Source organism: Homo sapiens, chromosome 1, assembly GCF_000001405.40.
Source record: "Homo sapiens chromosome 1, GRCh38.p14 Primary Assembly".
Classification (NCBI taxonomy): domain Eukaryota; kingdom Metazoa; phylum Chordata; class Mammalia; order Primates; family Hominidae; genus Homo; species Homo sapiens.
Genome location: NC_000001.11, coordinates 99,238,880 through 99,262,923, shown reverse-complemented (window position 1 = coordinate 99,262,923; position 24,044 = coordinate 99,238,880). Strand labels below are relative to the sequence as shown.

General features: G+C 36.0%; 1 annotated feature.

Annotated features, from left to right (window-relative positions):
• Positions 22,937–23,231: a silencer, noted in NCBI's record as "tiled region #9288; HepG2 Repressive non-DNase unmatched - State 24:Quies, and K562 Repressive non-DNase unmatched - State 24:Quies". NCBI's record gives its function as "represses a minimal TATA promoter and a strong SV40 promoter by Sharpr-MPRA in HepG2 and K562 cells {active_cell/tissue: HepG2 | K562}" and the evidence as "EXISTENCE:reporter gene assay evidence [ECO:0000049][PMID:27701403]".

Here is a 24,044-nt window from a genome sequence, read left to right as displayed (position 1 = left end):
AACGGCCTTCTAACTGTTCTACCAGCTTTTGCATTTGCCATTCCCACAACCTACAAACCATTCCCTACGCAGCAGCCAGAAAGGTCCTTTGGAAAGTAAACCCAATTGTTTTATTCCCCTACCCAAACCCTCCAAGAGCTCTCTTCCACTTCAATGGAAAGTCCAAACTTCCCGTCTCTTCCTTAAAGCCCTGCCTGGCCACCTTGCCTGGTTCTAGGACCTCATTCACATCACTTTGCACCTCAATGGTCTGGCCGTTCCAGCCTAGCCTTTCACTGCCTCAGGAGCTTTGTACTTACTGTTCCTTTGTCCAAGAACTCTGTTCCGCCAAAATTGCATGGCTTAACCCCTCATTTAATTCATATCTCTGCACAAATTTTAACTCCTCAGGGAAGTTGTGTTTGATGCACCGAGTAGATTCATAATCTCAGACCTCTGTTACTCTTTATTCTTTTATACTATTTTATTTTCCTTCATAGAATTTGTCACCATTTGATAGTATATCAAGTATTTCTGTGTCCTTTTTTATCTTGTCTGCCTCACCCACTAGTGAACTCTGTAAAGTCAAGCACATTTTCATTATTATGTTTTCTGGTAACTACAAGTGTGCCTGGCAAAGAGTAGGTTGTCAGTACATAGTGAAGAAATAAATGGAACAATAAAATTAAGTGATGCTTATATAACCGTATAGCATAGTTTTTCACATAGTATATGTTCATTAAGTGCTTGTTGATTCTGTTTAACTATTACATTAATCAGTAGTTATACTTTTCATTACTACCAATGTTACTTTGTCTTGTGGAGGGGGTGGGTACTGGAGCCCTTTCTTTTTTCAACCTTCTTGGTACCTCAAGAAAATTTACAATTTTTGGTGAGGTAAAAAATAAGCTAGAACATATTAAACTTAAGAGAGATGTTATCATCCTGGAAACTCAGTGTTTTTATTTGAGAAGAGGTGAAATATAAGACTAAACCTATACCCACCTAATTTCAATAGCAAAAAAACCTGAAGGTATGTGATAAAATATCAGAGATGTATGCTGACCATACATCAACAATTCAACAAATTGTCAAAACATCAGAAAGGTACTCTTTTTTTCCTCCCTAGCTGGTCTGCCCAGATTGACCTGCTCACATTGTCAAGGATCAGGAAATGTTTCAGAATTCAAAGCCAATACTTATTGTAAATCCTTTATCTTTCATTAGGTCAGATTCTCCTTCCTTCTGTCTCTCTTCTTTTGAATTTTATTTTTCTAATATATAGCATTTCATAAAACAATCAAGCTAAAGATTCCCTTAAATACTAAACACCATAGTAATGTCTTACATTGGGGTAACAGTTTGATATATATTACCTACTTTCACTTTTGGTACTCAAAACAATGCAATGAAGTGAACAGGGCAAATGATTTCCCTATTTTATAAAAAAAATCAGTAGACAGAACTCAGAGATAGAATAAATAAATAGAAAAATTTGAACCAAAACAGAATAAAATTTGGAGTCAGAAGACATGAACTTGAGCTCAGGATTTGTAATGTTTGAACTCTGCTCATAAGCAAATCACTTAGTATCTCCAAGCTTTAGTTTTCTATTATGTAAAATGAGAAGAGTACTGGTACTATCTGACAACAATGCCTGGTAGCTTAATTGTGACGATATATGTGAAAGCACTTGGTGAAATGTAAAACTGACTCATCCATTCATCAGTCCATCCATTCAACCTACAAGTATTTATTGATCCCCGGCTATGTGAGAGGCATATTTCTCACAAGACACCCACTGGAGAAAAGAGTATATATGCTTGTTGCCTTCATAGAATTCACAGGCTAATGTAGGTGAAGAGAAGACAGACACAGACAATAAATTAGTAATAGTAATAGAAAACACCTCCATGAAGCTCACTATGGAATAAGCATCATTAACAATACTTTGCATCTTACCTCACGTACTCACAAGATCCTTATGAAATTAGTATCATTATTATCACATTTTATAGTTAAAAAACTGAGACTCAGGGGGTAAACTATGATTTTATGGAAGGACCACAGATATAATTAGTAGGGCTGAGACTGTTGAACTCAGTAGGTTGCTGCAGGCTATGTGATCTTAAGGGCTACACCTACTGCCTCTCTTTACAAACATATAATTATATCTTGTGATATAGACTACTAAACAAACAATTAAGGTGCAGTTGTAATCACAATGAGAAACTTCTTAAGAATGGTGGTTGTGGCACTATTCACAATAGCAAAGACTTGGAACCAACCCAAATGTCCATCAGTAAAGAAAATGTGGAACATTTACACCATGGAGTACTATGCAGTCATAAAAAAGGATAAGTTCATGTCCTTTGCAGGGACATGGATGAAGCTGAAAACCATCATTCTCAGCAAACTATCACAAGAACAGAAAACCAAACACTGTGCATGTTCTCACTCATAAGTGGGAATTGAACAATGAGAACACATCGACATAGGGAGGGGAATATCACACACCGGGGCCTATCGGGGGTGAGGGGCTAGGGGTGGGATAACATTAGGAGAAATAGCTAATGTAGGTGACGGGTTGATGGGTGCAGCAAACCACCATGGCACATGTATACCTATGTAATAAAACTGCATGTTCTGCACATGTACCCCAGAACTTAAAGTATAATAAAATAATAATAACAATAATAATAAAAAGAAAAAGAAAGGTAGTCAAGGAAGTCCATGAGAGGAGTTGACATTCAAACCATTTACAGCACAGAGGCTACTAGAGAACACTCCAAAACTAAAAAATATGTTTCATCCCATCTTTACCACATAAATTCACATTGAAGCCAAGTGCAAAACTTTTATATTGAATGTTGCTTCATGTATGCTAGTTGCAGCCCTACATTATAATAGTGACATTAAAAACAATATAATGTGCCTCACAGAACTTGAACATTTTCAATGGAAATCCTGTTTCAGTGCATTCGAATGAAAAATGGCACCCACTGAAAAAGCAGCCCTCTGACATTTTGCGAGACAGAGTACTTCATAGCACAAATAACCTGGAAAAAATATGCCTGAAAATGCATTTGACACTATTATTTAAAGTGTCAGACTTCTCAGGTAAGAAAGAAGTCGTTTTTCTCTATATTGGATTTGTGTGCCCATAGCCAAATGCAAACTGCTTTTCTGTTTCCTGGCAACTATTTGCCCTTTGGGTATTTGCATGACATTTATCTTTAAGGTCATAAAAATATATTTAAATTAGTTACATATTTCTCAGATATCAGCCCACTCCACCACACTTTAAGGGGACAATGTAAGATTTTATTGCATTTTTCTAAATGGAAGAAACTTAACATAACTGAATATGCAGATGTGTGAAGTAGGAAAAACACTGAAATGAGAAGCTTCTGAAGGATGAGAAAGTGATGTTTTAGTTACAGCCTCATCATTGACTAATTCCACGGCTGTAAATAAGAGCATTTTAACTCAGGGACTCCGTTTCCACATCTAAAATGAATAGATTAGAGGAGTGAAATGGACATCTGTTGTGTGTTTGTTCAGGAGCCATCATTCCTTCTTTTTGTGATGGTTTCTTGAATTTTCATGTAAACTGTCCCACTTCTACAGTCCAAACTAGGACTGTAAATGAAGGTATTCTGTCGGCCCTAGGCCAGATAGGATAGTGACCAAATGTGAGCAACTGGACCCTGTTCCCCAGGAATCTGAATCTTGAGGAAAGTGACACAGAGACAGAAAATTGTTGGTGTTGATGCATGATAGAAGAAAAGAGAATGATAATTAATGCTGGCCTTTTGGTTCTCTGAACTGTCCTTTTTACCTTTCCCTTAAGAAGTCTGGCTTTTTTCTTTTCTTTTGTTTCTTTTTATATCCCCATTTTCTTTCCAAATATATCCTTTCCTCTACTCTTTCCTGTCTTTCTCATTAATTTAGCCAGAGCCCATTTTCTGTGCCCACAACAAATAAAAACATTTTCTGTGCCCACAATCAAACAAAAAAGTCACATACCTTTGATAAGAAGACATGACTTTTTTGTTTTTTAATCTAACATCAAATTTACCTAACGGCAATTCTTCTGGCAAGAGATTCTTTTTTTTTTTTTTGAGATGGATTTTCACTCTCTTGCCCAGGCTGGAGTGCAGTGGCACGATCTCAGCTCACTGCAACCTCCACCTCCTGGGTTCAAGTGATTCTCCTGCCTCAACCTCCAGAGTAGCTGGGACTACAGGTGTATGCCACCACGCCAGGCTAATTTTTGTATTTTTAATAGAGATGGGGTTTCACCATGTTGGCCAGGCTGGTCTTGAACTCCTGACCTCAAGTGATCTGCCTGCCTCGGCCTCCCAAAGTGTTGGGATTACAGGTGTAAGCCACCATGCCTGGCCCAGGCAAGAGATTTTTTAAATATAATTTTACCTTTTTTATTTTTTATTTTTTTTTACCATCGATGACTTTTGTCCACTATGGTCCTCTGTGATTCCCTATCAGGATATGGTAGAAGCTGATTTACATGAATCTACGGAGCTTCATCCCACAGGAACATAACTTTGCCCTGGAAATCAGTGGCTTCCCCAGGATAACCTATAGCAGTGATACAGGCAACAAAATAAAAAGTTCATTGCAGAGTTGTGTTGTGCATTGTCATACCAGTGTGTTGTGAATGGGTTTCAACTGTCCCATAAGATATTGATCCCCTCAGGGCCTTAGCAGGGTCTATGCAAAGTCTCAATGCAGATTGCTTCTGGTTGCAATAATCCAGATTCAAGGTGGAACAGTGCGTGACAGCAAGTTCAGAAGGCTATAAATCAGGAGAGAAACAACTTCAGAATTTGCTGCTGCACCCCAATGTACTAAATATAGCCAAGAGGGAGCCCCACTACTTGAAAACCCACTGGACAACCAGCTGCAGCATATGTTATTGCCCAAGAGCACCGGGCACACCCCTAGGTGTGGTCTGTTAAAGGTGCTTGGAGAGTGGAGAGATCCAACGGTTCTCCTCACAGGTACAATAGAGGGAAGAGATTGCTATTTCTGTCTTCTCTCTGTAAATTCTGTCCATGGGTACAGATATGTCTTGTTTATGGCTTCCATGCTACCTGCATAGCAATGGCTCTAAAAATGAATGTACATTCTGCAAATAAAGCATTATTTTTCTTTTGCAATATGTGATAAAAGATATTTAATTGGATTTAGAAACATCTAAGTTTATCACAAGAAATTTAAACATTACTTTTGTCAATGAAGGCAGTGCTATTGAATTCTTCACATGTAATTTCAAGGGTTGTATTTTTAATGATTATAAAGCAATGATATCAGATTTTTATCACCTACTTGTGCAAAGTTTCTCTTCAATGGTTACTATCAAGAATTTAAAGAGGTCCAAAGTAAAAATTCTGATGAGAAAATGCATGTAGCCATTCTTTGCACAAGTAAGCGCAAGTAAGCTCAAGTTTCTCATTTAAAAATTGAATAGATTTTATTTGGAAGTTTTAAATTTAAAGTATTTCTCCAAAACTTGATTTTTCTTCATGTTCACATACTACAAAAATGTGATGCTTTTCCTACTAAGTTCTGCACAGCTGCCTTCAATTCCCTTTTAAAACATTTACCTTATTGTGCTGTGTTAATACACTAGTTTATGTGTGAAAGGGTTGAGAAATACACACATATAAATTGGCCATTCCTTTTTCTTCAGTGTCACACTGCAACTGGTTCTCTACTATATTCCTGGAAAGTAACAAGCAGCAGCTATTTAAAGTATAAGATGATCCAAACCACTCAATCTAAAAATCTTGTCATCATCCTTGATTTATGCATGCCTGTGTCCCTTATATTTAGTCTCCAAATTCTTTTGAATTTCCAATGAACTTTTGCCCTTTTGTATTTTTCTCTTCCGTATTTCCATTACAATCAATTAATGCCTGGTTTCCTAAAAAAGTCAGCTATGGCCTTCAGGCTCTTCCATCATACAACACCCCTCTGGGTAAGTCCTGCCCCACTAGACACTTGTCTTGTGTCCCGCTCTGCAGAGATGTATCCTCTCCTCTGATGAGCTTGTTTGAGCTGCACTTGCACCATCTTTGTTCTGTTCCTGTGCCTTCTCACATGCTGTTCTACTCTCCTGGAATGCATTCATATCTCACATTTCTGAATTTTGTCCTTGCTACTCTAGCTCTCAAAGGCATCTCTCTGAATACCAGTAGACCTTATTTTGACTGCACAATCTAGCACAAGGCTATAAATCATTTTATTTTATTTGATATATTCTCATCTTGTACTTCCAATTGTATGAGTGAATTGGAGAAACAACACGTCATTTCTCTTTTCTCCATTTCCTCTTTTCCATGTCTGCTCTTACCATTTTGTTCACTTCATTATTTCAGTGACAGTATCATAGCATAGTGGCTAATTTCCCTAACTATGAATCTTCCATTTTCTGATCAAGTCTATAACTTTGCGCCATGAACATTCTCTTAAAGCACAATTTTGATCATGCCACTCTCTTGCTCAAAAGTGCTTTATGATTCTTCATTGCCTATAAAATTGTATTCAGTCTTTAGCCTGGCATATAAGGGCCTCTGTCTGGCCTCCACCAATCTTTCCATCTTACCTCTCCTTCCTGTACAGACACTAACTCCAGACATCCTAGGCTACATGGCATTTTATAAACCATATTCTCTTGCATCAAAGCCTTTTTTGTACTCTTCCTTTAATGATTTTTCAAATTTCAAACCAAAGTAACCTCCTTATGAGATTTCCTCAAACTTTCCCTCCTATGTGATCCTTTAGAGCTTTCTTTGGACATTTTTGTAGATCACGTATAAAAATTTTGCCTTGATTGTCTTATTTACCCCCAATAATATTTTTCTTCTTGAAAGTATAAGCCATATCTAATTCACCTTTTCTTCCTTTTTGAACCCTTAACATAGTATTTTGTACATATCAAGAGTTCAGCGAATCTTTATTGAATAAATAAATTTCATTCCTTTTACCCTTCCTTCTACAGTGATGACTATAACACTGGAACAACATAAATGTTTTGAATGTTCAATTACTGATTTTATAATTTATATAAATGAATAAGCACCCTGTCTCTCTCCCTTTCTCTCTCCTGACACTATGAGAATGCCATCGGCTCCAACAAGAAGTGCATTCTCTCAATCCTTTAGTAATTATCCATTGGTTGCAAGTTAGATTATGTATTATGATTAGTACAACATGGGAATTTTGAGCATCTCTTAGGAGCTGCTGAGAAATATGCTTCAGTAAAGTAGATCTTTATTGTCCCCTCTTCTCTCCGCAGTTTCTAGTCCCATGCCTTCTCTTAAATATTGCATCTTAAATTCTACTAAAGATTTGCTTCCCCTTTGAAGTTTCCGGGTTTGTTCCCAGGCTAAGACAGCTCCAAATGGTTCTATAATCTATATGTTAGTTGTCCTCGTTTTCTCTACCTGTGCATCTATGTGGCTCTTGCATACATCTTCCCACCTGTCCTGTTCTCCTTACTTGTTGAACTCTTCTGTGGGCTGGGACTTTTTTTTTTTTTTTTTTTTTGAGACGGAGTCTCGCTCTGTCGCCCAGGCTGGAGTGCAGTGGCGGGATCTCGGCTCACTGCAAGCTCCGCCTCCCGGGTTCACGCCATTCTCCTGCCTCAGCCTCCCAAGTAGCTGGGACTACAGGCGCCCGCCACTACGCCCGGCTATTTTTTTGTATTTTTAGTAGAGACGGGGTTTCACCGTTTTAGCCGGGATGGTCTCGATCTCCTGACCTCGTGATCCGCCCGCCTCGGCCTCCCAAAGTGCTGGGATTACAGGCGTGAGCCACCGCGCCCGGCCTGGGCTGGGACTTTTATTTGTCACATTAAAATACAATTTTTCTTTACACCCTCTCTTAATTTGACTGTTGTGATGATAGACATTATGTTTCAGAACCAATTGTAAGAAAAATTGGGGCAAAAGTCCAAATGATTTTAGAATAAATTAATGAAAGAAAACACCTTCCTGGATATGAAAAACCACCTTTGCTAACACTCATAAAACTTTCATGTATACTATTTGTTATCGAAGCTCCTATCAAAAGAGCTGAAGCAAGGTTATTCCTAAAATTAAGACACTTCATAACTTTAAAATAAAACATATAGAATTAAAGTTTATTTCAATTTCACAGCAGTATATAAAATACATAAAAATTGGCCAGGCGTGGTGGCTCATGCCTGTAATCGCACACTTTGGGAGGCTGAGGCAGGCAGATCATTTGAGGTGAGGAGTTTGAGACCGGTCTGGCCAACACAGTGAAACCCCATCTCTACTAAAAATACAAAATTAGCCAGGCATGGTGGCATGCACCTGTAGTCCCAGACACTTGGGAGGCTGAGGCAGGAGAATCACTTGAACCTGGGAGGCGGAGGTTGCAGTGAGCTGAGATTGTGCCACTGTACTCCAGCCTGGGTGACAGAGTAAGACTCCCTCTAAAAATAATAAAATAAAATACATAAAATTATAGACTTTAAATAATTTTTAACCCTTTAGTTACTCCTTTGATATAGATTTGTTCATTGATAGTTGAAAAATGACTCTATTTATACTGGACTCCTTTTTGATACATAACAGTAACACAAACTCGATTTCTTTCTTTCTTTCCTTTCTTTTCTTTTTTCTTTTCTTTTTTTCTTTAATGAGGTCTTTCTTTGTCACCCAGGCTGGAGTGCAGTGATGTGGTCATGGCTCACTGCAGCTTTGAACTCCTGAGTTCAAATGATCCTCCCACCTTAGCCTCCTGAGCAGACAGGACTACAGGTGTGTGCCACCATTCCTGGCTAATTTTTTTTTTGTAGATTTGGAATCTTACTATGTTGCCCAGGGTGGTCTTAAACTCTTAGCTTCAGGTGATCCTCCCACCTCACCCTCCCAAAGCACTGGGATTACAGGCATGTGCCACCACTCTTGGCTGCAAATGTGATTTCATATAGATGTGGAGTCACAAACAACAGAGAATCTCTAGTCCTGTCTCTGCAAATAGGGAGACTATGCTCACTTAATCTTTAGAATTCTCAGATTCATTGACTTGCCCTTCACATGCAATTGTATGTTATTAATTTATCATTCAATAAAATGTTCTTTCATAAAACTTTGACTTTGATTCCACATATAGGAAATATCTGTCGCTTTGGTTTGCAATGACCCCTTCTTTTGAGAGAGGTCCTCTCTTCCAAATACAAGCTAATATGTGGTCCTGAGACATCCGGACATTTTCTGTTAGATTGCACCACACTAATAGTGGGGTGAGCACACAACTGAAGTGAAGCCTATCATTTATGCTACCCTATATCCTCTGGCCATGGAGATTTGTCCAGAGATGATCACGAAACCAGTAGGAGCCTATCTGAATACCCAGGAGTTTTCTAACTAGAATCAAAGGAGAAGAGTGTCCTTCTCTTTCTGGTGGCAAAGCTGTACAGATGTAAGTACCAAAGCCGCCTATGTTCATGTCGCCTCAAGCAAATGAAGAAAGTCTTACACTTGTGAAAGAGAATAAAACTGGCATTAATAGAGAAGAGATGAGATATAGAAATTCTCAAGAGCTTTTAGTCCCTGAGTTCAATTACTTAGAAGAAGAGCTCCAACACAACCTTCTGTTCAACCTTTGAGGTTCAGTATATGAGTTAGTAATCACCTCCTCTCCCAACTATTTTTGCCTAAGTTACTTGTTTGTGAGTTCCTTTCACTTATAAACAAAAATCTCTGTGCAATATACACTTTATAAAGTGCAAGCAATATAGAATAATACTAACGATGTTGTAAGATTTTTTCTGTGGGAGTAAAGTATGAAGTGTTACCAATCAGTATCTGATTTCAAGCTATAATCAGTCTTACTATGCCATCATCCTGAGACGCATCACAATAGACTACAAATTAAGCCGTAACACAAGTTACTCACCACTGCATAATTTGCTGCCACCCACAACTTGCATGGAGAGGTGATGACAAGGATGCCCATCAACCCCTCTTATATAGTAATTCTGGAGTTTCTCTACTTGCAGGCACATATGTCTTGCCCGTGGGTGCAGCTCACTGGGGTTAACTGCAGCTGGCAGATTTTGATTGGTGAATTGTGCAAGTTGTGTGAGAAGCCAGCAGGTGTGAGGTGATGCCAGAATAAAGATAAGTAGGGCACTGGCAAGTTAAAAAGAATCAATACACAAAGTGTTGGTTTAATTTGCATTTTAAAAACTTGAGCTTCTATTCAATTTAGAATGTCTAGCCCTTCCAGAAAGGACTTCTTGCATTCCAGGAAAATGAGCTCACACCTGAATAAGGGTTTCTTTTGAACAAGGCTAAATTTTATTTTTATGAAGACAAATTGCAAGTTCATTCTACAGGAAAAGAGAGAAGTCATCTTGGAGCAGATCTTTACTTTAAAAAGAGTTGATCTAGGCAAATGTAAATAGAATAGGACCCAACAACCCTGAGGAAGACTTTTAAGGCCAAGGAAGCCACAAAAGTTGTTTGCTCTGGTATTTTGAAAAATGAATCTGTTTGATTTAATTTAAAAAGCTAGGATCCTCATGTAAGAAAGTGAAACCAGCCCAATTGTCTCACACAATTGATATTTACAGTTTAATAAACATAGAAATTGAACTTCCTAGTCTTAATGTTTTTTTTTTTTATTTTTTAAAACTTGTATTTTAAATTCAGGGTTACATGTGAAAGTTTGTTACATAGGTAAACTCATGTCACAAGGGTTTGTGGGACAGATTATTTCACCATCTAGGAATTGAGCCCGGTATCTAATAGTTATCTTTTCTGCTCCTCTCCCTCTTCCCACCCTTCACCCTCAAGTAGACTCCAGTTTCTGTTGTTTCTTCTTTGTGTTCGTAAGTTCTCACTGTTTAGCTCCCACTTACAAGTGACAACATGAGGTATTTGATTTTCTATTCCTGCATTAGTTTGCTGAGGATAATAGTCTCCATCTCCATCCATGTTCCTGCAAGGCATGATCTCATTCTTTTTTATGGCTGCATAGTATTCCATGGTGCATATGCACCACATTTTAAAAATCCCATCTGTCATTGATGGGCCTTTAGGTTGATGCCATGTCTTTGCTATTGTGAATAGTGCTATAATGTACATTCACGTGCATGTGTCTATATGGTAGAATTATTTATATTCCTTTGGGTATATATCCAGTAATGGGATTGCTGGGTTGAATGGTAGTTCTGCTTTTAGCTCTTTGAAAAATCACGATAATATTTTCCACAATGGTTGAGCTAATTTACACTCCCACCAACAGTGTATAAGTATTCCCTTTTCTCCATAGCCTCACCAGCATCTGTTATTTTTTACTTTTATTAAAAAGCCATTTTATTATTTTAGAATTATTAATTTAAAACAGTATATTAATATATAATTAATATTAGAGCAATATATTTTATTAAATTAATATTATGTAATTATTGTTTATTATTAAATAGCCACTATGACTGATATGAGATGGTATCTCATTGTGACCCATTCAGTCTTAAAGGTTGAGAAACATATTTGTCTTATCTGGATAGATAGATAGATAGATAGATAGATAGATAGAAATATAGATAGATAGATAAAGATGATAGCAATGGAGATGATAATTTCCTGCATTCCTTTCTCAGGAAATCGACTATCAGGAGTCCCAAGTAGTATCAAGGAACTGAAATTTACTAGATCATTGCTTCTGGACCAGGAGACACCAGACCCGTTATTCATCATGATTGCCTAACCAACCACCTGCTGCCTATTGACCAACTCCTCTTACCTACCCCTCCCCAATTCTTGTTTTCCTGCACTTTAGCTACATTCCTTCCCCACTATATAAACCCCTTATTTTGATCGATTGGGAAGATAGATTTGAAACTCCTCTCCCGTTTCCTCAGCTGTAGCACCTTGTATGGTGTTGTGCTTTGAGGAACCATGAATCAGCGTAAGATTGTGAAATAATAGAGCTCTAACCTGGCAGTCCCAAGGTGGGGCACTACTGGAGTCTGTGTCAGGCTCCAAGTGAGGGAGAGAGCCTCAGCATCCTCGAGGTAACCTGCACTGGGCCGTGGAGGACCAGGATGCAGCAGCAAATAAAGCAAAAATGCCTCAGGCAAAAAGAAGCTTTTCAATTCTCTCTCTTTTGACATTGGAAGTGGACTCAGCTCTTTGATGAACCAGTTAGACCTTGGGGGTTTTGGAGCCCCTACAGCAGGGGCTGGTGAATGACTGGCTCACAGCCCGAATCCAGCTTGCTTTTGTAATTAGTTTTATTGGAACACAAATACACCCATTCCTTTCTGTGTTGTCTATGTCTGCTTTGAACCTACAATGGCAGAGTGGAGTAGCTGTGACAGAGATTATGTAGCGTGCAAAACCTAAAATATTTACTCTCAGGCCCTTTATAGAAAAGTAAATCCTCATCCCTGATATTCAACAGCTTCCACAATTTCCATCACTTCATCTGTCCTAATTCTCACTAATTCTGAATTGTAGTCTCTGAGTTTGGTCTGAATCCATGTGATTGATCTTACTGTCCCTAGTATGGACCATGACTTTTTCCTCATATACCATTTCTTACTAATTTCCCTCATGTCCAAGTTCTTAAACCACATTCTACCCAACCACAATATATAGTGTTTGACTCTTTAATGTCACATTCTATGGATGTGAATTTCCTAGTGCAGTGAATTTCTGACATGACTTTAGACACACAGGAATAACAAGGACACAAAGTAGAGTTTAAAATTTATTTTTATAAAAAAGTTGACAGAAATGAAATATATTCCCTAATATGCCATAAAATACAGTGAAGTAATATTTTAATATGATATTTAAATTTCAGACATCTACTTGCCTCTGCAAATATTATTCATAGCAAAATTTAAACCTTAAAATGCCATAAAATGGCAAAAGCCACTTATAAAAATATCTTTAATTTATTCAGTCTGTGCTGAGTCTTTTGTAAGTTATTTAAAATGGCATGCAAATCAGAGTAAATTAAACATTATTTCATGAAAAGCAGATTTTTAGATGTAATCAACATGTCGTTTGAATAACCGTCTTAATGTTATTTAAACACCGAAACCAAATGTTGTATTGATTAGAAAGGAATATGACTAGATTTAATGGAAATAATGTTGTTTTCTATTGTTGACCAGCTACTCATTACCATCATAACACAATAACAATTTCAAAAGTATATATAATGATATACATATACATGTATCTACACACATATATGTTTATGTACATGCACATATAAGAGAGAGATAGCTACATTTTCATCCATATTTATCAATCAAATTTAAGCTAAACTAAAAATTTGATAATTGAACAAATATTTATTGAGGGAGTATTCTAGACAAAGATAATTTTTCAAATAAAATTGGCTGGCAAATAACTTAAAATCACAATACATGTAATGAGTTAAGTTCACACAAATGAGAATCAGCAGAATTAATAGACAGAAACAGATCCAAATTAACTCTAGATATTGGATACCTGAATAAAACAAGCACTCTGTAACTGTTCATGGAGATAAAAGTGGAACCAATGTTTTCAAGGGATTTAGGTTTGCATATTTGAAGAGGAACTATCTAAAAATTATGTAATGGAATGATTACATAGATAGGTTTAGCAGTAGATCGGACCCTGATAAAAGTATCGAAAAAGAAACATGATAAAAATGGCATGTAAGTCACGAAAAGCTTACATAGATCTAGAGTATTCTAAGTCTCTGCATTTTCTCATAGAAAAAAAAGAGGAAAAGAAAACATAACAGGTAGAACAAATTAAAAGCATACAAGGAAATGGAAGATATATATTTAAAATATATAATATGCATACTGTATATAATATATATTATGTATATAATTACATGAATTTATATTGACTAAGTTATATAGTTAAAATGCAAGGATTAACACATGATATTTAAAAATTAATTTCATCCTATTCACAGAAGATTTTGAATATTAAAAGTATAGATAAGAGAAATAGTAAACCATACAAAAACTTAGCCAAAAGAAACTAACGTAGCTGTATTTATTTGCAACAGTATAAAAAATGTTGCAGGCCCTAGAAATTAACTTAGAGTTGTGCAGGACTTCGACAGTAAAAGTTAAACATTTTAATGAGATAAAATAAAGTTCTCGATATTATACTAAGGGAGTAATACTTTTTTTGGAGTGAAACACTCAATAATAAAAAAATGTTAGTTCTCCTGAACTCACCTATAAATTCAAGACGGTCTTGATAAAAATCCAAAATATTTATTTGAGCAACTTGACAATCTATTTCTAAAATGTATATAAAAATTAAAATGCCATGAATTTTGCCTTTATTAAAAAACTGTTGATTAGACCTTATGGTCATCTGTTTCCTCAATTTCATAGAAGTATATTAAAAAATATTACCAAGACATAGCAAATGACTCTAAAGTATACCTTGCTCATTCACTTAAAACCACTTTGTTTATCCAGTAAAACTTATATGATGAAGGAGTAAAAGTAACTCTATAAAATTAGGTATTATTTACATTTGGAGTTTGCCCATTAATTACAAGTAAAAACTTATATGTTTATGCCAAAACTGTTTGAAATGGCACTCAAAGTACTTTAAAAATATAAAAAAAGAGAAATTGACACAAGAATTCTTACCAAGAAATTGATAATTTTTTACGATTAAAACTTAAATTTACAATTTTGAATTTGACTAACATAACTCTATCCGAGGAGGATAAATCGATCCTAGTTAATTGAAGCCAGTTGGTCAAAATTCAACATATTAAATCTTAGATTGCATTTGGGGATCTTGCCTACTGCAACAAGTCAAGGTGTCTGAAAATTATATCTGTCTTTTATAAAGGGAAAGGTGATTGCCAATAAGCAGATGAGAAAGGAGAACAGCATGGTGTTTTCTGAGGTAGACCAACTTTAGGAAAGAGTTTATATGGCAGTTTAGCACTTGGACAATATTTTTAAAAAAACTATGCAATAGAGAAGTCTTAGTGTATCAAACAGGATATCCATTACTCATTTTAAAGACCTCAGATATAATTGATATGGTAGAAGGGAGTACATGGTATGACTTAAAAAAAAATTGGACTTGCTCTGTATACTCTTACTGTTACCAAGACTTTAAATTTTATGTAATGCTAGTGACACCCAATACTCTCTCTAAACTGTCATAGAGCTGCTGGTGGAAATATCATTTTAATGCCTCCCAACTCCCATATGACCTCACATGATTTATCTTTCCTAAAAAACGTTCTTCCTGTATTCCTTTATTAGTTTCATCCAGACACCCAAGACACTTTTCTTATTTACCTCTCCTATTGGCCCCTGAGTCCTGCTAATTTTTTGAGGTATCCTCTCATTTATGTCACAATGCCCTAATCTCTTCTCATTGAGAATACTGCAAAATCCTTCCAACTGTTAGCCCTGTCTCCAGTTTTGTATGTGATTAATCACTGTATTCTATTGCCAGAGTAATTGTCGAAAATGCAAACCTCAGCATATTATACACCTATGATCACGTTTTAATGGTGTCCCATTCCATTCAGCAGTACTTGTCAAACTTTTCCATTTTTCATAAGAGGATAATAAATTTATATCTACAAAAGAGATAAACTTAGTTGAAGACTTGTATTTTATTTTTAATTCATGTGAATTAAGGTGTCATTCTGTAATATAATCATGTGTGGTGTTTTTAAAATTTTATTTATTTTTAAAATCATCACATTGTAATTGCACATTGAATCATGTGTATTTTAATTATTTACCATTTAAATCTGTTCACTGCCTCCAAAGGCCTCCATACTTGCATTGATGTCTTTCCTCCTCTCCCCATTATAAATATTGAAACTCTAGAAAGTTGTCCTAAATTGAGTTATTTCTCTGGCTTATCAGATATCTTTTGCACACGAATGTATCCAATCCCCACATATTTAAGAATAATGAACCTACAAGACAAATATAAGGTTTTACTTATATTTTTATTTTGCTTTTAAAATTGTAAAATATAATCACCCATATTCAAAAATACAGAGACAGATGTATAATTTAATAAGGTACAACACGGGTAACTCCAGAGTAATTTTCAGGTCAAAAAGTAGGAGGTTGCCAGCCTACCAGAACCTCCCGATGTGTCCTTTCTCTAGAGCTTGATTGTTTCACTCAACATGATATTTTTAAGAGTCCTCTGTGTATGATATATAAATGTAGTTCTTTTTTCTGTTCCCTTTTTTCTGTTGATTCTCCTGCCTCAGTCTCCCAAGTAGCTGGGATTACAGGCATTCACCACCATGCCTGGCTAATTTTGTATTTTTAGTAGAGACGGGGTTTCTCCATGTTGGTCAGGCTGGTCTCGAACTCCCGACCTCAGGTGATCCACCTGCATTGGCCTCCCAAAGTGCAGGGAATTTAGCATGTGGAAATACCACAATGACTTAGGCATTTCAAAGATTACAGATAGTTAGGTCAGTTTTTGTTTCTGGGGATTCTAATCAGGCTTCTAAGAATATTCCCATACATGTCTTGTGGTACACATGCGCACTAGTTTCTCTAGGGTGTGTACCTAGGAGTGGAAGTGCTAGTCATAGAGAATGAATATTTTGATTTTACTATATAACATCAAACTGTTTTCTAAAGTGGTAGTACCAGCAATGTGTGAGAATTCCCATTGCTCCACATATTCTGTAGTGTGAGACTATTTAATTGCAACAAATGTGGTTGTTGGTTTGTGATACCTCATTTCAGTTTTACTTTGCATTTTCTAAACATTTTTTTTTTTTTTTTTGAGACAGAGTTTTGCTCTTGTTGCCCAGGCTGGAGTGCAATGGTGCGATCTCAGCTCACCACAACCTCCACCTCCTGGGTTCAAGTGATTCTCCTGCCTCAGCCTTCCAAGTAGCTGGGATTACAGGCATGCACCACCACGCCTGGCTAATTTTGTATTCTTAGTAGAGACAGGGTTTCTGCATGTTGGTCAGGCTGGTCTCGAACTCCTGACCTCAGGTGATCCACCTGCATTGGCCTCCCAAAGTGCTGGGATTACAGGCATGAGCCACTGCGCCCAGATGCATTTTCTAAACTTCTAATGAGGATGATCACCTTCTCATACATCTATGGGCCATTGAATAGTCTGTTTTGCGGTGTGCTTGCTCAAATCCTTTGCCAGTTTTTCTATGAAGGTTCTTGTCATTTTTGTTTTTCATTGTATGCAGATTTTTAAAAATATCTTTTGGATATGTTTTCTTTGCCAGTTTTTTTCTGACAAATACAGTCTATCACTTTTTATTTTCTTTATGATATCTCTAAATGACATCATAAAGCTCTAAATCCTAATGATGTGCATTTGATTAACTTCTTTCTTTATAGTTATGGCTTTTTGTGTCTGGTGTAAGAGTTTTCCAAGATCTGAAATCAAGAAGATAGTCTGTTAATGAACTACTAAAATCTTTAATATGTAGGTCTATAATACTCCTGGAATTATTTTTTTATGGAATGAGTTACAATATTTATTTCCCAAAACATACTCAAATGTTATAACATTATGTATTGAAAAGTAAAACTTTCCCTTTCACTTGGCTATAATACCACTTACATAAATCAAATGTCTGTGTATACATGAGTCTCTGTGTGAGAATTCTATTTTACTCAGTCTATCTATTTTGTCTACCCAAGCACCACTGCCCTGCGATCTCTATTGTTACTACATGACAATAAATCTTGATATAAGGTAGAACAATTCCCTTCCACGCTGTTCTTCTTTGGGGGCTTTACTTATAAATTTTAGAATGAACTTGTCAAGTTTCACAGAAATAATAAACAATCAAAAACAAGAAGAGGTTTTTAACTGAAATAGCATTAAATCTGTGGATCAATTTATGGAGAATTGACCTCTTTACAATATTTAGCCTTCTAATCCATGGACACACCTATTTTTCAATATATTTTTGTCTCCTGTAAAATTTCCCAACAATGATTTTATAGGGATATTTTTGGCAGAGGTTTTCTTTTTTTTCATCTCTTTTCAAAATTTATTCGAGGTATTTGGTATTGTTGGTGTTACTGTGTACATGGTATTTTTTTCCTGTTTGTTACTGTTGTATAGGAAAATGGGTTACATCTGTTTATTGATTTTGTATATAGAAACATTGTTAGACTCTGTCATTAATCCTCATGATTTATCTGTAGTTTTCTTCATGTTGTTTGAGAATGACAGTTTCTCCCCCTCATTTTAAGCTTTATACTATCTTCTTTTCTTTTTTTTTTTTTGAGATGGAGTTTCACTCTTATTGCCCAGTACATATTCAAAATACAGATGTTTTATAACTTGTCTCCAATACTTCCATTATATGAGATCCTGTGGATCTTTGTTTTGTCTTTGTCTCTGCTGGTTGTCACCATCAACTTTTGTAGGCTTGACTGTTTTTAAACATGTTGGTAATTATAATTGAAAAGTTGTTTTTCAATGTGTTGAGGAGTTTATGTTAAGGTCAGTTCTGACATAGTAGTTTTGCAGTTGCTCCTGCTGGGTGACTGGTAGGATTATCAGCCTGAAATCATTTTAAGTCAAGTTGAGATTTCCTGATTAGACAACTTGAAAAGGGGCTGCAATTCCTTGAAAGGGCTATACTATTTCTGGTTCACTTTTACCCTGAGGATGTAACCTACCATGGTCCTAGCTCACTACGGGGGGTAAGCCCCACTTGTTGCCTGCTCTGGGCTTCTGTCACTGTTGCCCTACAAGCAACCAAGACGTAGGTTCTGAATTTCCAGTATTAACAAATGCCTTAAGACCAAAAGTAGCTTCTGTGCTCAACTATCTCTCCAGGTTCTTGTTTTCTTTTTCAATTTTGGCTTAGTAATTAATCCTTACTCTCTATTAGCTCTTCAGTATTTTTAAAACGGCATAGGGGAGAAATATATATAATATATTTTTTATGTACAGTGTGAAAAAGCTAGGATTGCTTCTGGCTGCAAGTAATAGCGCACACACACACACAAAAGTGGCTTAAGCAAATAAGGAATTTGCTATTTTTCACATGACAGTACCAGAAGTTGGTAGTCCAGGGTGGGTACAGAAATTCCATGAATCCTCCCTGAACCCAGGTTTCTTTTACTGTTTCCTGCATTCTTACTTTGAGCTTATTTAGTCACAAGTTGGCTTCTCCATCTAGGAGGAGGGGAAAAGGCCTAACAGCATCAGAAATGGGGTAATGTAATTTTCAAGATGGGCACATTGCCTAACCCAACAAAATCACAATTCTGACATTCAGGTGAGCAATTAGCAGCTTCTGCCTAGTGTTTGTGCAGGTAATATGTGAATGCTAAAGAAACAAGTAAATGTAAGGCAATGTTTTTATATTTGCTAAACATGTTTTCTTCGAATAAATTTTAGATATATTTACTTTCAAGAGCATATGAAAGTTGGAAGAAAATTTAAATTTCACCTAATTCAATCTAGAAATCGGATGCAGAATGTTTTTCTTTAACATCACTAACAGATGTTTACTAGTTTCTTCATGACAAATTCTGACTTCAGCTTGAAAAAGTTATCTGGTTAATAGATGATAACCAGCTTAGCATATTTTCTAGAAAACATACTGAGAACATAAAAATAAACAATAAAATAATAAAAACATACAACACTGAACATTATAATTGTTAATCTTTTGTTAGAACCAGAGTAGATTTTCCATTAATTGAGAAATGTATTTGATATCTTACTCATGCTTTGTTTCAAGAAGATAAGCAATTCTTCCCATCTGAGAAAAGATAAAAAAATCTAAATTCTTCTTCAGTCAAATGGCTTCTGGCTCAAATAATTGTTTTGTACAAACCAGGAAAATGAGGGGCTATTTTTTTTTCCTCTGGAATTGCTACTTTGTGGGATTATCCTAGTGTTCCTACATTCATTCAGAGACTACAACTTCCAAACACAAACAGGGAGAGACTTGCAATGTTGCACTGAATTCAGATAACTTAATTCCCCAAGTGAAATACAGTAAGCAGGATCAGAGGAAGTCTGAAGAGCTAGATTAAAGTACATTCCAAGGATTGCAGTTTTTCCTGGATTCCAATACATTACTGTGGGAGAGAATCAGATAGGAGGAATTAAAAAGGATTTACCTCAGTATAGCAGAACTGCACAAAGGGCATGCTTTGTATACAAAAAAAGATGGTGAGGTAGCCATGCATGTATATTAGCCATCCACTCATTTATTCATTTAGCAACTATTTACTGAGCATCTACTACATGGGAGAATAGGCATGGGACATACAGCAGTAAACAAAACAGACTAAGTCCCTGCCTTTCAAAGAGCTTACATTCTAACAGAAGGAAACAGACAAATATAAAAACAAAGATTTGTCAAGTAGTGAAGATGATGGGGTAAATACTACAGAAAGGCAATCTTATGAAAAAATGCTCAACGTAACTAATTATCAGGGAAATGCAAATTAAAACCACAATGAGATACCACCTTACTCCTACAAGAATGGCTATTATAAAAATAGATGATGACATAGATGTGGTAAAAAGGGAACACTTTTACACTGGTGGTAGAAATGTAAACTAGTACAGCCACTATGGAAAACAGTATGAAGATTTGTTAAAGAGCTAAAAGTAGAACTACCATTTGATCCATCAATCTAACTACTGGGTATTTATCCAAAGGAAAGAAGTCAATATATGACAAAGACACACGCACACACGTTTATAGCAGCACAATTCACAATTGCAAAAACATGAAACCAACATAAATGCCCATCAACCAATGAGTGGATAAAGAAAATGTGGAATATATACACCATGGAATACTACTCAGCCATAAAATGGAATGAAATAATGGCTTTTGCAGCAACTTGGAAACTTGGAGGGAGCTGGAGTTCATTATTCTAAGTAAAGAAACTCAGATATGGAAAATCAAATATTGTATGCTCTCATTTATAAGTGTGAGCTAAGCTATGAGGTTGCAAAGGCAAAAAAATGATCTAATGGACTTTGGGGACTTGAGGGAAAAGATGGGAGGCAGGTGAGGGATAAAAGACTACATATTGGATACATTCTACACTGCTACAATGTACACTGCTTGGGTGATGGGTGGACCAAAATCTCAGAAATCACCACTGAAGAACTTATCCATCTGACTGAAAACCACTTGTACCTCCAAAACTATTGAATTAAAAGACAAAAAAATGAAAGAAAGTCCAAGATCAAGACACCTGCAGATTTGGTGTCACTGGATACCTTGGTCTTGGTCTTCCAAGACTCCAGAACTTGAAGAAACAAATTTCTGTTGTTTATAAACCACCCAGTTTGTGGAATTTTGTTGTACCAGCCCAAGTGAACTAAGGCATTTAGTTTCACTTTTTTGTAACTTGAGATAATGATATCTTTACTTCATAAGTCATAGACTTAAGCTTTTGCAAATAAAAGCATGAGCAACTAATGGAGCTAGAAAGTGCTGAAGTCAAAAACCAACATTTGGAGGTCTTTGTAAACTTCCAAAGACCATAATATTTTCCTTTTTTAGGGCTGCCATGCTGCTTAATTGCAAAGGATACTATTCACAGAGCATTCTATGTCTTGACCAAGAATTGTACAGTCAGGCTACTTTCTGGCCATTGTTTTGTTATCCAATGACACCATTCAAAAAAGAAAAAGCAATACACAATCTAGTCTACAGTTTCAGTTTATCACTCTTCCACATCTCTTCCCATCATACTTTGTATCTATTTGAATACTCTATTCTAGCATCTATTTCATTGTGGTACAATTGTTTGTATGCATACTGGTACCTCTCCTTATGTTGTAGGTTACTTGAAAACATACATAGAATATTAGTCACCTTTGCTTCCTCAGTCTTACATAAATATTAAGTCAGTGAACCAATAAACTTTAAAAATTAGAATTGTAAGCTTCCTTTTCTTTTTTTTTGTCTGTGTATGTCTTTTCTCACATATTTCTAAGACATGTGACACAATATAATTTAGCGTCAGTTGCCAAAACAGCTCCAAACAGTTTTATCCTCTTATTTAGGGCATGCTTGTGAATGGTCTTTCATGTGGTTTTAGTAGTCATTCTTTTAAAAGAAGCTGGTATTGTAACCATAATCATACATCTGGGCAGACACAGATAGTCCATTATTTTTTTAAAGCCAGCCAAAGAGTTTTTCAAGCTGTTTGTCAGAACCATTGAAGGCAAAATATTTGAACTTAGCTTAGGCGACAGGGGTTGTGTGATGAAGAAAATGCACCAACATTTTTAATGATTCTTTCTCTACACATCTTAAATTCTCTATTCATAAAACACATGTTTATTTCACAAGTATCTGATACATAAAATTTGGCAAATCTATGAAAACACTCAAAACACTTTGCTATATAGTGATAATTATTTACATATTAGTGCATAGAACACATACTCTTTAAATTTTGTTGGACATTTGAGTTGTTATCATATTTTTTGTTCTCATTAAAAAATCCACAACTCTGATTATTTCTTTAGGATTAATTCCCAAAAGTGGAGAGGGGTTTGATTAATTAATTAGTACATTGAAAATATAATACATGGTGTTTGGACAGTTTAAGTGGCTTAGTCAATTTGTGGCAGGTCTTCTATGACTACCTTGATGGAAGAGCTACATACATTAGCCCTTCCTTCTCTCTGTGCCAGTGACTCTGCGATTCTGCTAGAAATAATGACATTTATCCTCCTTCGTAGCCCAGCTGTGGTGGCATTTCCTCCATTCTGTTTTCACTCTTAATACAATCACATAAGCGTTACGATTTCCAGACATTAGACAAAATTATTGTTGGTGCTTCATATCCTGTCTTTTCAACACTGATATACATTTATTATTTTATTTGGATTATGCAGTCTCAATGGAACTCTGCCAATAAGAGGAATCAAATGTGCGTCCTCAGCCTACGGTATTGATTCTGCAACACAGAGCGGGGATGGGGGAATGAGAAATGCTGTTGACTTGCTCCGCCTGGGGGCATGCTACAGCCCTCAAATGGGAGCTGGAGAGAGAGAGAGCACATTGTTCTTGGCCTCACCTGCCTGGAATGGAGCGTTCATGATGTCGAGCTTGAAAGGAAAGGAAGGGCACCTGTCATGTCACCTGTCAAATGCCACAGACTCATGCTTCTTCAGATATTTAGTATATTTTCTTGATTGAATATGTTTGCATTTGCTGTATGCCCTAAGAACAGTTTCCAGAGATTGTTAAGTGATTTTTAAAATATAATTTTCCCAGCTATGGTTGTGACACTGGGAAAAGGATCTGCTGAGCTCCTCACACTGCTATTCTGGAAGTAGTTCTCCATCATTTTTTTTTAAGCCTCTTAGTTCTAGGGTAGTTATTATGCAGCAAAGGGTATCTGAGGCATCTGTTATTATTATTATTATGATTATTACTCCTATAACCATTTATTTCATTGAGTATATATACTCTGTCTATGAGTACTCAGAACAGTAGGGATGTATATGGTGATAGTAAAAGACACTACTTGTATAACTACATATTTAACAATTCAGTTGGTGATTCAAAAGATACTCATGAAATATTGGGAGAAGGGAGATGGAATTAACTAATATTTATTAAACACATCTTATGGGTCAAGAGTTTGTATACATTACTTTTTCATTTTCTCAAAAGCACTGAAGTAAAATACATTCTCATTTCACATTTAAAGAAAATGAAACTCTGAGAACTTAAATTATTTGCGCATGCTGGCTCCACGGCAAGTTTAGAGTTGAGATTTCAATCAACATTTAACTGATTCAAGTCTTTGATTTTCTTACAGGTTAGTGATCAACCAACAAACAGAAGACTATAAGAAAATGTATAATAGACTAATTTAAAATATAAATTTCATAGAAATTTAAATAATGATGAATCTGTTTGAAGCTAAAATCTTATGGAGACTTGAAGGAAATAGGAACTGAATTGGACTCAATACTAATTATAAGAGAATGTGTTGGTGGAAAGATTTATTCTTGAAAGGTAGCACATGA